At 51.5% G+C, this 16,077-nt stretch overlaps 1 protein-coding gene across 7 annotated transcripts in view, besides 2 other annotated features; it reads right to left on the reverse strand.

Moving 5' to 3' along the window:
- The window catches only part of KIF7 (kinesin family member 7), a 45,741-nt gene extending 30,661 nt beyond the window's left edge, over positions 1-15,080 (reverse strand). For 5 of the 7 annotated variants that reach the window (XM_047432481.1, XM_047432480.1, XM_047432479.1 and 2 more), the window contains exons 1-5: positions 7,430-7,498; positions 4,634-4,985; positions 1,772-1,972; positions 1,005-1,398; positions 286-805 (exon numbers count right to left, since the gene is read on the reverse strand). In XM_047432481.1, coding sequence (XP_047288437.1) covers positions 286-805; positions 1,005-1,398; positions 1,772-1,972; positions 4,634-4,961 — 1,443 coding nt within the window. In that variant the 5' untranslated portion in view covers positions 4,962-4,985; positions 7,430-7,498. Of the gene's footprint in view, positions 1-285; positions 806-1,004; positions 1,399-1,771; positions 1,973-4,633; positions 4,986-7,429; positions 7,499-14,954 lie in introns of those variants that run through there. The other 2 variants (XM_047432477.1, XM_011521531.3) reach the window with 1 other exon arrangement.
- Positions 7,536-7,675: a silencer, noted in NCBI's record as "silent region_6801". NCBI's record gives its function as "represses an Ori minimal core promoter by ATAC-STARR-seq in GM12878 lymphoblastoid cells {active_cell/tissue: GM12878}" and the evidence as "EXISTENCE:reporter gene assay evidence [ECO:0000049][PMID:35858748]".
- Positions 8,109-8,403: a silencer, noted in NCBI's record as "tiled region #5394; K562 Repressive DNase matched - State 10:DNaseD". NCBI's record gives its function as "represses a minimal TATA promoter and a strong SV40 promoter by Sharpr-MPRA in K562 cells {active_cell/tissue: K562}" and the evidence as "EXISTENCE:reporter gene assay evidence [ECO:0000049][PMID:27701403]".

The following is a 16,077-nucleotide window of genomic DNA, read 5'->3' on the forward strand; positions in this document are numbered from 1 at the left end:
GCGTCTTCACCGGCATGCTAGGCACATGTGACACCCTCAGCCCTTACAACATCCCCACTAAGAGATGGGGTAAGTCCTACGGTTATCCCTATTTTACAGCTGGAGACCTGAGACTCGGTGAAGTTAAGGAAGTGACCACGGTAATCAGCAGAAGTGACCGAATCCCGAACGTGCCCTGCTAATGGGCAGGAGGCAGGGGCGCAGCTGCTGTCTGAAGACCCTCTTCCTTCCTCTCCACCACTCCCCACTGCCCACAACCACAACCACAACCTGTCCCTCGGCCACCTTTCGCCCGCCGGCCCCCTGCGCCGCCTGGTCCTCGACGGAGGCGCTCTCGATGCCGCTATCGGGCCCGGAGGCGGAGCTCAGGGCGCTGCGCTCGCCCTCGACGGCGCACAGCCAGTCGCGCACCTTGCGGGCGGCGGCGCCGGGCAGCCCGGGCTCGGCCTGCAGCTCGCGCAAGAGGCTGTAGGCGGCGTCGGTGCAGGCCCGGTAGCGCGCGCACTCGGCGCCCAGGCGCATGGCGGCCGCCGCGGAGGCGGTGGCTGGGCCTGGGGCGCGCCGGCCGCGGTGGATGATGCGGGTCTCGGAGCGGTGCCGTGGCGGACCCCGCGCGCCGCTCGCCGTCTCTTCGGGTGGCCGCTCGGCCTCGGGCCGCCAGTTGACCGTGGCGCGGTTGCGGATGTTCTGGGCGCGGCTGGCGTAGTTGAGGGTGTTGAGGGTCTCGTCGAAGTCGGAGGAGGAAGGGCTGACGCAGGCGATCATCACCGTCTTGGCGTTCCCGCCCAGCGAGTCTTTGAGGATCCTGAGGGCGCGAGGGGGAGGCTCTCAGGGGCCCCGACGCTCCAGGCCCAGGGCCAGCGGGCCAGACCTGGGACCGGCTCCTGGCGCGGTTCCCGTGGGCTGGAGACCTCAGGGGACCTGGGCTTCCACCCCCACTGGTGTGCTGGACACTCCCCGCCTCCCCGGCCCCCAGGCCACATAGGAGCCAGGGGGCAGCTCACCGGGTGATCTTGGAGTCGCGGTAGGGTATGTGGCTGCCCCGGCGCTGAGGGTCCCCCAGGGCGCTGATGACGTTGCCCAGCGCCAGGAGGCTGCTGTTGATCTGGATGCTCTCCTTGAGCCGCTCGCCGGTGCTGCCCGTCTTGAGCACCCTCTCTGAGCCCGCCAGGTCCACGAAGTGGAACTTGGAGACGAGCAGCTGGCCCGGGGCGGGGCGGGGTAGGCGGCTGGGGGCGCGCCCCCGCTGCTCCAGGGTCACGGTGAAGACCGTGTGTGAGCGGCTAGACAGGTGGTTGAGGTGCGTGGCTCCCGTGTGCCGCGCCGCGTTGCCCATCTCCAGGAGGCTCAGCACCTCATCCAGGCCCTCCACGTCGACCTCCTTCACCCCGCACAGCACTGCGGGCACAGAAGGCCGTGAGCCCCAGGGCAGGGGCCGCCAGACTGACCAGCCAGGAGGGCAGGCAGAGCAGAACTAGCCCCAAACCTGCCCTTCCTGACCCACTGCTCCCTCCCCATGCCCACGGGGTACTGCCCTTCCTAGTTCCGGCTTGAGGGGCTCCGGCTTCCCACTGGCCCACCTCAGTGCCTCTCACTCTGGGTATAGAAGCATGTACTGAACTCAGTGGAGGCAAGAAGCTAAAGCAAAACCTCCCAGGGCTTGGGTTTTCCATGAGGAGTTGCCATTCCCAGACAGGTAAGCACTCCACTCCAAACAGGTGAAGCCCCCCTAAGCCCCTCTCCGTCAGTGGAGGACCCCAGAGTTCCTCACCAACATTCCCGCGCTCATCTTCCCGGAGCTGGATGTCACGGCTGGCAGTGCCCACCTCGAGCAGGTCTCGGAACTCCTCCTTGTACACTTCCAGGTAGGACACATGTACCAGACAGTCAAGCAGGTCGTTCTCATCGATGAGCTTGAAGGCCTCGGCCATGGCCCTCGGGACAATGCCCTGCTCATCCTCAAGGAGGGAGGCTGGGGAGACACCGCAGGGCCTCCTGCCACTTCAGCTGGACACGGCCCATGGCCCCCAGGCCCGGAAGCTCATAGGCCCCTGCCAGAGCTGGAGGATGGTGCTCTAGGATGGAGAAGGCAGTGGCCGAGGCCAGGATGGGACAGGTGGCCTGAGCTTGGCCATGCTCCAGCGTGGTCAGGCAGAATTATAAAATTTAAGAGTTGGAAGCAACCTCTCCTGATTCAATCAACCCCTTTCATGCTGTAAGCATCCCCTTCACTGCATCCTCAACAGATTATCAAATAACCTTGCCTTGATTACTCCTAATCCATGCTCAGTTATCTAAAGGGCCTCCTAAATTTATCCCAAGGAAATAATCAGAGGAACTTCAGAGCAGCACTCTTCCTCATGACTTCAAAAAATGCAAACATCCTAAGTGTCCATCCGAAGATCCAATAGGAGATCTGGCCAAATCAACTTTTTTTTTTTGAGACTGAGTTTTGCTCTCGTTGCCCAAGCTGGAGGGCAGTGGCGTGATCTCGGCTCATTGCAACCTCCACCTTCCGGTTTCAAGCGCTTCTCCTGCCTCAGCCTCCTGAGTAGCTGGGATTATAGGCATCTGCCACCATGCCCAGCTAATTTTTGTATTGTTAGTAGAGATGGTGTTTCACCATGTTGGCCAGGCCGGTCTCAAACTCCTGACCTCGTGATCCGCCGGCCTCAGCCTCCCAAAGTGCTGGGATTACAGGCATGAGCCACCGCACCTAACCAACTATTTTATATTCACAATGGAATGCCAGGTAGCCATTAAAAAGTTAGATTTTTTTTTTTTTGGTAGAGACAGGGTCTTGCTGTGTTGCCCAGGCTGGTCTCCCAACTCCTATGCCCAAGCAGTCCTCCCAGCTCAGCCTCCCAAAGTGATGGGATTACATGTGTGAGCCCCTGCGCCTGGCCTAAAAAGTTAGATTGAAGAATATTTCATGATACAGAGAAATGTTCATGATACATTTGTTGTTGTTGTTGTGTTTTTGAAATGGCATCTCACTGTTGCCCAGGCTGGAATGCAGTGAAGCAATCTTGGCTCACTGCAACTTCTGCCTCCTGGGTTCAAGCAATCCTCCTGCCTCAGCCTCCTGAGTAGCTGGGATTATAGACCCCCACCACCATGCTTGGCCAGTTTTTTGTTTGTTTGTTTTTGAGACGGAGTCTTGCTCTGTCACCAGGCTGGAGTGCGGTGGCCAGATCTCGGCTCACTGCAACCTCTGCCTCCCAGGTTCAAGCGATTCCCCTGCCTCAGCCTCCCAAGTAGCTGGGACTACAGGCATGCACCACCACGCCCAGCTAATTTTTTGTATTTTAGTAGAGACAGGGTTTCACCATGTTGGCCAGGATGGTCTTGATCTCCTGACCTCATGATCTGCCCACCTCGGCCTCCCAAAGTGCTGGGATTACAGGTGTGAGCCACCACGCCCGGCTCAGTTTTTGTATTTTTAGTAGAGATGGGGTTTTGCCATGTTGGCTAGGCTGGTCTCGAACTCCTGACCTCAGGTGATCTGCCTGCCTCCGCCTCCCAAAGTGCTGGGATTACAGGCGTGAGCCACTGTGCCTGGCCAATGATACATTATTAAGAAAATCAAACAGGACACAAAAGAATGTATATAATATAATCCCATTTTTGAAAAGTAAAATAATCTTCCCAGGGAAAGAAACTGGAAGGCTAACAGGGCAGGGGATTTCCGAAAGGCAATTATCAAGTACATTTTATTTCGTGCATGTGTTTTGCTGTATTTTCCTAATTTTTTTTACACAAAGTATCTTTCTGTAACTGCTATGGTCTGAATTTGTTTATGCTCCCCAAAATTCACATGTAGAAATCCTTACCTCCAATATGATGGAAGTGAGGGCTTTGGGAAGTGGATGGGGGGAGCCCTCATAAATGGGATTAGTTCCCTTATAAAAGAGAGCTGAGAGAGACCCCTTCTGTGTACTACCATGTGAGTTTAGAGAGAGACAGCGACTGTCTGTAAGGAAGAAGGCCCTTCAATCTGCTGGTGCCTTCATCTTAAACTTCCCAGCCTCCAGAACTGTGAGGAATAAATTTCTCTTGAGGAGCCACCCAGTCTATGGTATTCTGTTATAGTGAAGGGAGCAGAGCAAGGCAGTAACCCGACAGAAAACAGCTTGTGTTACTTAAAAGGGGACACTTCCTTCAGTTGGCCCAAAGGATCTTTCTCGAAACTGCTCCAGAGCCTGGCTGAAGCACCCTGCAGCCCTGCTGTGCAGTATCCAAAGCAGCCTCTTCCAGGACACACGGCCCCCATTCCCAACTGCTCCAGCTAGAACAGATTCCTGACCTTCCCTAGCCAGCCTGACAACCTCTAGAGACACGCCACCTTCCCGTGCCCTTCCTCTGCTGAGGTCCCCAGAGCCAGGCAGCATGGCGCCATCTCTATGGAGGTGAGAAGGCCACTCACCTCCAACGACCCTTCCTTCCTGCCCTGCCTAGCCCACAGACATGGCTGGTCCCAGCCTGGGCCACAGATCCCTGTCTAGGAAATCGACTCTTCCTCCCCCAGCATCCCCACCTTCCACAGAACAGGCAGCAAGAGGACAAGGCAGAAATCCAGGAAGGAACTAAGGCTCCTTAAAGTGGGCACAGGGCCACGAACAGGGTCACTCACCCACACTGGCCTCCCCCATGGTGTATGTCTTCCCTGAGCCCGTCTGACCATAGGCAAAGACAGTGGCATTGAAGCCCTCGAAGAAGGCCTCAAGGAGGGGCTGAACGCAGGCCTGGTACACGGCCTCCTGCCCCGCATCCTCGGCCAGCACCACGTGGAAGCCAAAGTGTCGGTCACGGCCCAGAGTGACGCGGCCAAGCCCTGGCTCCACCTGCAGGCAGCTCTGATGCCCGTGCAGCAGCTCCTTGGGCAGCAGTGGTCGAACTCGCAGGGCAACCCGCACTGGGGCCTCCTCAGCCCCTGGCAGCCTCTGAGCCTCCAGCCCCATGCCGAGGGAGGACTGCTCTGGGCCCTGTGGAGAGAGAGAGAAGCCCTGGCCATCAGCACTTGTACTCCAGGAGCTGGACTCACCCTGCAGGGGACTCGAGCCAGATCCTGCAGCTCCTGACCTTGGAGGGATTGGGGGAGGGTGGTCAAAGTTCACAATATCCCCATGTCCAACCTGGTGCTCAAAAATTGCAAGGGCCATGATATATATAGTCCCCCACAGGAACATGTCATGGCTTCCGGCACTGGCGAAATGAGGCCCTAACTCCTGAACTCCAGTGTTTCAGCTGCACTCTTCCCTATGGCCCCTATGGCCCCATCTCCTAGAAGAACGCACACACACAGCACCACACCACACCAGGGAACTCCTGTCCCTAACACCCACTGGGTTTACCACAGTCTTTGTGTCAAGTCACTCACATCCCCTGCCCCACCTTCTTCAAAAAAGTCAACAGATCCTTCAAGACCAAGCTCTCACCACCAAATCCTGCCAATTCCATCTCCTAAATATCTCTCAAGTTCACCTGCTGCTTCCCATTCTGTTGCTAAAGCCCTGGTCCTGGCCACTGACATCGTGCCAGGATGACTTTGAGCAGCCTTCCCCCTGGCATCAGTCTCCCTGTCCCCTCCCGCAGGGCAACCAGGGACATCTTTCTTTTTCTTCTTGAGACAGGGTCTCTCTCTTTCACCCAGACTGGAGTACAGTGGCATGATCACTGCTTACTGTAGCCAAGGCTTCCCAGGTTCAAGTGATCCTCCCACCTCAGCCTTCAGAGTAGCCGGGACCACAGACATGTACCTGGCTAATTTTATTATTAGTATTAGTATTAGTATTAGTATTAGTATTAGTATTAGTATTTTGTAGAGACAGTCTGGCTATGTTGCCCAGGCTGGTCTTGAACTCCTGGGCTCAAGGGATCCTTCCAAAGTGCAGTGACTACAGGCATCAGCCACTGCGCCTCAGAGGCATCTCTCAAAATGCAAATGCAATTATTTCACTCCCTGCCTAACCCCAACTCCCCCAAAAAAAGGCTCTCCACTGCCCTTGGGATTCAAAATATTTTTGTTTTTGTTTTTGTTTTGTTTTGTTTTTTATTTGAGACGGAGTCTTGCTCTGTTGCCCAGGCTGGACTGCAGTGGCCCGATCTCCGCTCACTGCAAGCTCTGCCTCCTGGGTTCACACCATTCTCCTGCCTCAGCCTCCCAAGTAGCTGGGACTACAGGCGCCCGCCACCACGCCCGGCTAATTTTTTGTATTTTTCATAGAGACAGGGTTTCACCGTGTTAGCCAGGATGGTCTCGATCTCCTGACCTCGTGATCTGCCCGCCTCGGCCTCCCAAAGTGCTGGGATTCCAGGCGTAAGTCACCGTGCCCGGCCTGGGATTCAAAATATTAAGGGGAAAAAAAAAAAAGACAAGCCTTAAATCAGGCCCTGCCTCCCTGGACTACTCACTTCCCACACCCCAGGCCTTTCCTCGCCTCCTCTCTCTGCCTGCAACGGCTAGGTGTTACCCAAGCCTCCTCATCCCTCCCGGCTGAGGCTGCAGCCACCTTCTAATTCAGGGAGCCACGGAAGCTCCCCTCCTCTGTAACCCCACCACGACACGCACACAACCCCCAGTGCTGTTCCACCCGCCCGTGACCACTCCAACTGCAGGTTACTACCCGCTTCTCTCCCCGACCTCCCAGACCAGGAGCTGGAAGGCAGGGACCCTCTGGGTCCACTTTGCACTTTATCACCAGCGCCCAACACAAGGTCCCACGCTGCCCAACAGATAGTGATGGATAATCTTCATCCAGGGAACTTTCCCTGCCCTCCCTCCTCCTACCGCGTTCCTCACCCCCACCGCCAGCCCGGCACTTCATTCTTTACCCTTCAACCTCTCTCTCAGCACAGTAACCTTTCGTTAATTCAATCACCCAGCCCCTATTGGGCTCCCGACCCTGGGCACACAGCGGTAAACTCTGCCTCGCAATACCGTGTGGGCCTTCGCGCACCCCTCCGCGTGAGCGTTCCGAGCCCGGTGCAGTCCCGGCTTCCGCGCGCCCCTGCTCTCCGCACAGCGCTCCCGCTCCGAAGGTGCTCTGACAACCCCGCAGGCGCTATTCGGAGCCGGGGCAGGGCAGCTGGGGCTGGAGGCGGCGGGCGCGGGACGGAGCTCCATGAAAGTTGGAAGAAGTGATTACAAATCGGGACCCGACTCTCGCAGCCTTGGCGCTCGCCCCTCCACGCAGGCCCGGGATGCCGGCCTCAGCCCCCAGATGTCGGGAAGACGGCGCCGGCCAGTCCAAGGAAGAGCTTCCAGGAGGCTGGGGAGCAAGGGTGCCGGGCTCCTCATGCCGGGTCAGGTCTCCCAGGAGTGCCGGCTCCCAGGGCCACTAGGCCCAGGCCTGCGCGAGGAGGGAGCGCGCGCCTCCCTCCACCCACCCGGTCCTCGCCCCTAACCCGCTCTCCGGCCCACACTCACCTGCCTGGCTGCAAGCGCCGTCCCGGGCCAGGCAGTCAGGTTTCCATCCCCAGTGCGGCGCGCTCCGATGCCGTCATCGGGACCCCCGCCCCCCAAACCAGCCCCCCCCTCACCCGCAACTCCGCCCGCCGGGGCGCTCGGGGGCGGAGGCGCGAGCCGGTCGGCGTCGCGGAGTCGGCCCGCAGACAGGGCGGGCGGGGCCCGTGCTCAAGGGCTGGGCCTGGAGAGTGTGCAGCATCCTCATGATGGCATCGCCTTATTTTCTAGAATTTGTCTCCAAACTGGACTCCAGACCATCCTGTCCTCAGCCCCGAGTCACCTTCATCCCCGGTCTCTGTTTTCCACTCCCAGTCCCAAACCACGCCTCCTGCACGCCACTCACACAGCCGGCAGAAACTTTAATCTCCCCACGTTTAAAAAAGTTTTCTCAGTTATAAGACTCTCTTTTTCTCACATTTTAGCATTCCTAAAATTGAGTTCCATCTTACACTCATTGTCAAGGGAAACTTGGCACCAGGAGGGGCAGGAGAGGTGATCTGGGGGTGTCCACGGCAGCCTCAAAGAGATGGTTGGTGTCTTCACCTCTGAGACCTCTGATCCATTGTTTGCACTGGAAGCACCATGAATGGGTGAATTTTAAAATCTGAAAACATATTTGTCACTTAAAACGCCATTAGAAAAAGTAAACTCCAGTGTAGTTTCTAGTGAAATTTTATTATGTATATAGAAGATTACCTGTCATAGACAGGCAACATAATTAAAGGCCATAGAAATTGCCAGGCTCGTCAGATAGATCTATATTAGGAAACCCTCAGCCTCCAGTAACAGAAACCACAATTTGAAGTGGCTTGAACCATAAGGTCATGTGTTATCTCGGGGAACAGTGAAACCCAGAGGGATGAGGGCTCCTGGGCAGGTTGAGTCAGTGGCAACATTACCAAGGAGGTGGCCTTTTTAACTCTTTTTTTTTTTTTGCCATCAACTTCAGACACAAAACGTCCAGAGGAAGAAGACAGCAGTGTGTGGTGAAGCATGCCCTTTGGATCAAGAGCACTCCAAGCTGATTTCCTTCCCATTCCATGTACCACACAGCTTAGGCCTGTCCACCCCCAAACTAATCACTGTCAAGGGGATGGAACTACCATGATTGGCTTGCAATACCAGTGTGAGACAGCGTGGATATAGGAAAGTCATCCACAATCTCCACAACCACATCCTCGAAGCTTCATAGAGGAGAGGCTGGCCAACTGATTCGTGTATCACAAAGGACCATGATTCAGGTACCAAGCATCTATCTGTCAGATGCCAGGAGCTGTGCCATTTCCTCCAATAGACAATTCAATTAAGGAGAAACTAAAACCTCGAGCAATTGGAAAGAGCACATGAAACCCCAGTGTTCTTTGACATGCTGTAGAATGACACTGTTGTTCCCAAATATTCTAAATCAATTGGGGTCCTGAACAAGAACAACACAGAGCAGCCTGCCGCCGTGATGCCCAAAGAGAATCATTTTAGACCCTGAAAATGTGAAGAAGCTGAAAACTGAACTTGGATTTTCATATGTGTAAAATGTAATAAAAGGTGATGATGATTAATGAAACATCATGCTTTAAGAGGTACAATTCTGGGCCAGCCAAGGTGGCTCATGCCTGTAAACCCATCACTCTAGGAGGCTGAGGCAGGCAGATCCCTTCAGCCCAGGAGTTTGAGACCAACCTGGGCAATAGGGCAAAGCTGTTTCCACAAAAAATGCAAAACATAGGCAGGCGTAGTGGCATGGGCCTATAGTCCCAGCTACTTGGGAGGTTGAAGTAGGAAGATACACTGGCTTGAGCCTGGGAGGTGGAGGTTGCAGTGAGCCGAGATGGTGCCACTGCACTCCAACCTGTGTGAGAGAGTGAGACCCTGTCTCAAAAAAAAAAAAAAAAAAAGAGAGAGAGACAGAGGTACAATTCTAATTACAATTATAGTAATTAAATTGTAGAGAAAATAAAAACTTTCATGTTACAATAAATTTTTAAAGAATTTCATGATGGTGGAACTATCAATGTTCATGATTTTAGAAAGATTTATCTTTTTTCTTGCTCTTTCTGGTGGATGTGCAGTGTTTTTCTGTGTATCAGTAGCACTCATATGCAACAATCTGGTGTGTACCCGAGTGTCCAAATTGTGGCCTTTATCACTATTTTCCATTAAAAGTAGCTGATTCCATGTATTAGGGTAAGAACTGGAATAATTATTTTGTGGTCAAAAAATTCAGATGCTTTTAAAATGTATACTGTAGGCCTGAAATGACAAAAGCCCCAACTTAAAGGGGTTCTTACCAGCCAACTTGTGACATCATGAGCTTCAGAAGAGCAAAGAATAATTATAGTTACTTGAAACAAATTGAGTCGGTAAAAATTCCTTCTGTGGAATTTGACAAGCTGATTTTACTACTTACATGGAAAAGCAAAGTGCCGGAAGTTGCAAAAGACACTTGCAGAAGGGCAGTATGGGTGGACTTGCCCAAGAAGATGTGAAAACATATTTGAAACTATTGTAATTCAGACAATGTGCTAATGCTACAGGCATAACAAATAGAACAAATCTGGAAACCAGATCTATGACAGAGTAGAGAGTGCAGATCAGTAGGGGAAAGCTATTCAATCCATCAGGCCGAACCTGGTCCATTGTTCATCAGATATCAGTAAATGAGAAGTTTCCAGCTGACATTCGAGAGAACTCTTAAGCTTCCTGCAGTATACAGTTTATTTCGAGAGAAACTCAAGGCTGAGTATGGTGGCTCATGCCTGTCATCCCAGCACTTTGGGAGGCTGAAGTGGGAGGATAGCTTGAGCCCAGGAGTTCAAGACCAGCCTGGGCAACATAGCGAGACCTCATCTCTACAAATAAAAAAAAATTAGCTGGGCCTGGTGGTGTGCACCTGTGGTCCCAACTACTCTGGAGGCTGAGGTGGGAGGATTGCTTAAACCTGGGAGGTCAAAGCTACAGTAAGCTGTGATTACACCACGGCACTCCAGCCTGGATGACAGAGACCCCATCTCCAGAGAGAGAGAGAGAGAGAGAAAACACAACTAAAAATTCAGTTAGGAAATGTATAAGACAGTTATCCACGTGGAAGAAAAAAATTGGATTCCTACTTAAACCATACTTATAAAAATTAATTAAATGTAGGGCTGGGCCAGGCGCAGTGGCACATGCCTATAATCCCAGCACTTTGGGAGGCTGAGGCAGGCAGATAACTTGAGCTGAAGGGTTGGAGACCAGCCTGGGCAACACAGCGAAACCCCATCTCTACAAAAAAATGCAAAAATCAGGTGGGCATGGTGGTGTGCACCTGTAGTCCCAGCTACCCTGGAGGCTGAGGTGATAGGATAGCTCGAGCCCGAGAGGTCAAGGATGCAGTGAGCTGTGATGGCGCCACTGCACTCCAGCCTGGGTGACAGAGTGAGACCCTGTCTCAAAAATAATAATAATAATAATAATTAATGAAATGTAAAATGGATAAAGCGTTAGAGGAAAATCATCATGGCAAATATTATTAGGGGAGCATCATCATACCTTCATGGTAGGGGAGAGCTTTTAAAACATAACTTTCAGCACCACAGGAAAGGTTAAAAACAAACAAAAATCATAACTCAAAACTGCAAACCACGAAGGGAAAGAGTGGTAATTGGGACTAAATCAAAATTAAGAACTTTTGTTCATTGAAAGGATGAACAAAGAAACCAGAAAGAGAATGAAAACAAAAGCAACAAGCTGGAAGAAGATATTTGTGATATTTATCCTTGATAAAGAGTTAGTATTCAGGAAATATAAAGAAGTTCTAAAAATCACTGAGAAAAACTAGGCCTGGCATGATGACTCACACCTGTAATACCAGTACTTTTGGAGGCTGAGGCAGGAGGATCGCTTGAGCCCAAGAGTTCAAGGCTGCAGTGAGCTATGATTGATTAAACCATTCATTCTAGCATGGGTGACAGAGCAAGACCCTGTCTCAAAAAGAAGAAGGAAAGAAAGAAAGAAGGAAGGAAGGGGAAAGAAAGAGAGAGAGAAAGAAAGAAAAAAGAAAGAAAGAAAGAGAAAGAAAGGAAGGAAAGAAGGAAGGAAGGAGGGAGGCAGGGAGGGAGGAAGGGAGGGAAGAAAGAAAAGAGAAGAGAAAGGGCAAATACTTCACAAAAGAGGAAATGCAAATATTAAATAAACAATGTTCAATATCATTGCTAATCAGGGAATTAAGTCCATGACAAGATTCCGTTTTACTCTCCTCAGATTTATGAAGTGATTAAATTAGACAATATCAAGTGCTGATGAGGATGCTGGTAAGAGGACTCATATACTTCTGGTGAGAATGTCAATCAGAGCAACCACTTTGAATGGCAATTTGTCAATATCTAGTTAATGATACACACACTTTATCATTTAGGAATCCCACTCTTAGTCATATTCCCTGAGAAACTCTTATAAGAATGTTCATTATCACAAAGTATGTAACAGTAAAAATACGGAAACAGGCCGGGCATGGTAGCTCATGCCTGTAATCCCAGCTGTTCGGGGGACCGAGGTGGGTGGATCACTTGAGGTCAGGAGTTGGAGACCAGCCTGGCCAACATGCTGAAAACCCATCTCTACTGAAAATACAAAAATTTAGCCTGGCGTGGTGGCGAGCGCCTGTAGTCCCAGCTACTTGGGAGGCTGAGGCAGGAAAATCGCTTCAACCTGGGAGGTGGGGGTTGAAGTGAGCCAAGATCGTACCACTGCACTCCAGCCTGTGGGACTAGAATGAAACTTGGTCTCAAAAAACATATATATGGAAACAATCCAAATGTCTATTGACAGGAGAGTGATGTGGCAGAGATTACAAGTTACCCCCATCCCTGGGATCTACTTCCCCTCCATTTAGGACTTCTGATTTTTAATTAGGTGCATAGCCACTCCAGATGAAAACTATATTTCCCATCCCCCTTTTAAACCAGGAGTGGTCATGTGACTAAGTTCTGTCCAGTGGGTTATAAGCAGAAGTAGTTGTAATTTCTGGTGTGGAGGCATGCCATTCTCCTTTCTCCTTGTTCTTTTCTGTGGCTAGAATATGGAGTTGATCGCTGGAGCTGGAGCAGCTATCTTGGCTCATGAGGTGAGTTTAGGAAAAGAAATCATTCACGACAGAACAGTAAGATAGAAGGAACCTCAACCCCTGGCACTGCTGAGTGTCATCCCAGTCTGGACTACTCATCTCTGGGCTTTTACAGGAGACAGAAATAAACTCCTATCACTGTGTGCTAGACTGTACTATCGTTCAGCAAAGAGTTGCTCCCTTTCCCCTTCCACTAGGGGAGAAGTCTACTTCCCTGTCCCATTGATGTGGACTTGGCTGTATGACTTGCTTTGGCCAATGGAATGTAAGTACATATGATACAAGGAGAGGACTTGTGGTGAGACTTGGTTCTGTGCTCCAGTGATCTGTTGTGAGAAGAGTATGCCCCATATAGCCACTGAGCCCTTATCCTGCAGCCCTGAAATAGCACCCCTGGTGCAGAACTGAACCCATGCACAGCCTGGAGCCAAGTTCAGCTGATCTGCAGGCTGAAGCAGAGCCATTGGGAGTACCACAGTGATGAGCTAAACCATAGTTGACCTATGAACATAAAAATAAATGCATGTTGTTGTAAGCCACAGTCTTAGGATAGTTTGTTATGCAACAGTATCATGGCAAAAGCTGACTAGTATACATTGTTATTGGGAGCCTTCTGTCTTTTAAAACTGAATCCATTCTAATGCAAATGACTGAATAAATTATGGCATATTTATATATACTCATTAAATATAGAGTTTTAGAATAAAAATCTCTAGTGAAAACAAATGAAGCTCAGAAACATAATTTTGAGTGAAAAGAAGCAAATCTCAAGAATACATATAATCACACTTAAATAAAGCTCAAGGCATGCAAAACTCAATCATATTGTATTGGGGTGTATATATAGGAAGTAAATCTATAAAGAAAAGCAAGGGAATGAGAAACAAAAAAATTCAGGACTGTGGTTTTGGCAGGTTGGGGCTGGGGATGGGGAGGGATTGTGGATGTCATGCAGGATGTTTTAAAGGTACTGCTTGTGTTCTGGATGTAGAGCAGTGAATAGAAGGGTCCAATAGTATATCCTAGATGGGGAGCTGACCACACAGTCTTGGTCCCCTCTCTGCGCACAGAGGAACCTCTAGATGACCGCACTAGCTCTAATGACATACTAACAAGGTATGCAGAAGTTTCCATTGACCCAGTTTACAGAAAAGCTTAGAAGAATTTGACTTTTTAGTTTGTAACTAACTTTTTTTTTTTTTTGAGATGGAGTTTCGCTCTTGTTGCCCAGGCTGGAGTGCAATGGCGTGATCTTGGCTCACTGCAACCTCCGCCTTCTGGTTTCAAGCGATTCTCCTGCCTCAGCCTCCTGAGTAGCTGGCAATTATTACACTTATTACAGGTGCGTGCCACCACACCCGGCCAATTTTTGTATTTTTAATAGAGATGGGGTTTCACCATGTTGGCCAGGCTGATCTTGAACTCCTGACCTCGTGATCCGCCAGCCTTGGCCTCCCAAAGTGCTGGGAATTACAGGTGTGAGCCACCTAATCAACATTTAAATATTTAAAATAATTTGATGTATGCATTTTATAAATTTTGATTAAGTGTGAAGTATTAAATGGTTAGGAAAGTTATGCTTAAGACAATGAGCACTGAAGCACAAGTCATAGTGGTATCTCTCTCTCCATGCCCGGAAGTCCCTTGGATATTAAGATCCTAGATAATTATGGGAGGAAGGCCAGGCATGGTGGTTCACACCTGTAATCCCAGCACTTTGGGAGGACAAGGTGGGCAGATCACTTGAAGTCAGGAGTTCGAGACCAGCCTGGACAACATGGTGAAACCCCGTCTCTACTAAAAATGTGAGAATTAGCTGGGCATGGTGGCGCACACCTGTAATCTCAGCTATTCAGGAGGCTGAGGCAAGACAATCGCTTAAGCCTGGGGGCATGGAGGTTGCAGTGAGCTGAGATCCTGCCACTGCACTCCAGCCTGGGTGACAGAGTGATACGGTCTCAAAATAAAATTATGGGAGGGAAAAGGGGTAAATAATTGCCTGGATAAATGTATGTTATTGTCTGTAATTGTTTGCATCTCCAAAAGCTGTGGCTGAGTTAGAAGCGGGTTTTGTAAGCTAGGATGGAAGGCATTGGGTATTTCTCTGAAGGACCCTGGGCAACCCGATGTGAAGTGGAGGTCTTTGCTAGGTCCTGAGCTACACTGAAGATACTGAGTATGGGTGGACCTTGCCAAAGTGATGCCCCGCAGAACAGAGGAAAGTCCCCCATTGAGCCTAGAGCCAAGGAAGCAAATGTCTGCCATTTAGAGGAGCTACTTTGCCCTTGTTACTGGCCAAGATGTGTTCAAAATACTGAGAAGCAGGTTTAGTGTACCTTGCTGCCTAATCAAGAGGTTTCTAAGAGCAAAAAGAAACTTATAACTTACACTGTTTGCTTCCTGGGCTGTCCTATTCCATATGCGGCCTCCAGCACCCGTGCTCAGGCCCAGGGCTGGGTGAAGGAACTGGGCCTGACCAGCAGGCATGTTGGCGGCCACAGCCCTCAGGCGGCTGAGGAGGCAGCTTTCCTGCCTTCCGGAGTATAGCCTAGCAGGAGGAGCCGCAGGACCGGGGAGGAGTAAAGAGCTAGGAATGTGGTTTCCGGAGCACCAGGAAGAAAGCTGCATGGGTGGGTGAGGCCCAGGACAGGCAGGCGTTTCTTTCTGCACATCTAGGCCTGAGGTCATTTCTCCAGCATCTGTCCATGGGAGCTCTGCCAAGGCTGTGCTGGGCTCTGTCTGCTCAGCCCTGTTCTATCAGCTTCTAAGAACCCCTCTTGCCAACTTCACCCCCCATCTTCCCTCCCCACCCCCCAGGGAACTGCTGGGTGTAGTTTATATCGTGCAAGTGGGGTGGTCAGGGTCCATGGCTGGTTCAGGGGCCTGGCCACGTCTTTATGTGTATATCTACCAGCTTCTCTCCTGTCACCATTCTTGGCATCCTCAGACTCCAAAACCACAGATAAAGGCCCATGACTCATTACACCAAAGATCTGCCAGGGCCACAGAGTCAGTGCCAGGGCCACAGAGTCAGTGCCAGGGCCACAGAGTCAGTTCCAGGGCCACAGAGTCAGTGCCAGGGCCACAGAGTCAGTTCCAGGGCCACAGAGTCAGTGCCAGGGCCACAGAGTCAGTTCCAGGGCCACAGAGTCAGTGCCAGGGCCACAGAGTCAGCTCCAGGGCCACAGAGTCAGTGCCAGGGCCACAGAGTCAGCGCCAGGGCCACAGAGTCAGTTCCAGGGCCACAGAGTCAGCGCCAGGGCCACAGAGTCAGTTCCAGGGCCACAGAGTCAGCGCCAGGGCCACAGAGTCAGTTCCAGGGCCACAGAGTCAGCGCCAGGGCCACAGAGTCAGTTCCAGGGCCACAGAGTCAGCGCCAGGGCCACAGAGTCAGTTCCAGGGCCACAGAGTCAGTGCCAGGGCCACAGAGTCAGTTCCAGGGCCACAGAGTCAGTGCCAGGGCCACAGAGTCAGTTCCAGGGCCACAGAGTCAGTTTCAGGGAGCGGGGCT

The sequence above is a fragment of the Homo sapiens genome, chromosome 15, assembly GCF_000001405.40.
Source record: "Homo sapiens chromosome 15, GRCh38.p14 Primary Assembly".
Taxonomy (NCBI): domain Eukaryota; kingdom Metazoa; phylum Chordata; class Mammalia; order Primates; family Hominidae; genus Homo; species Homo sapiens.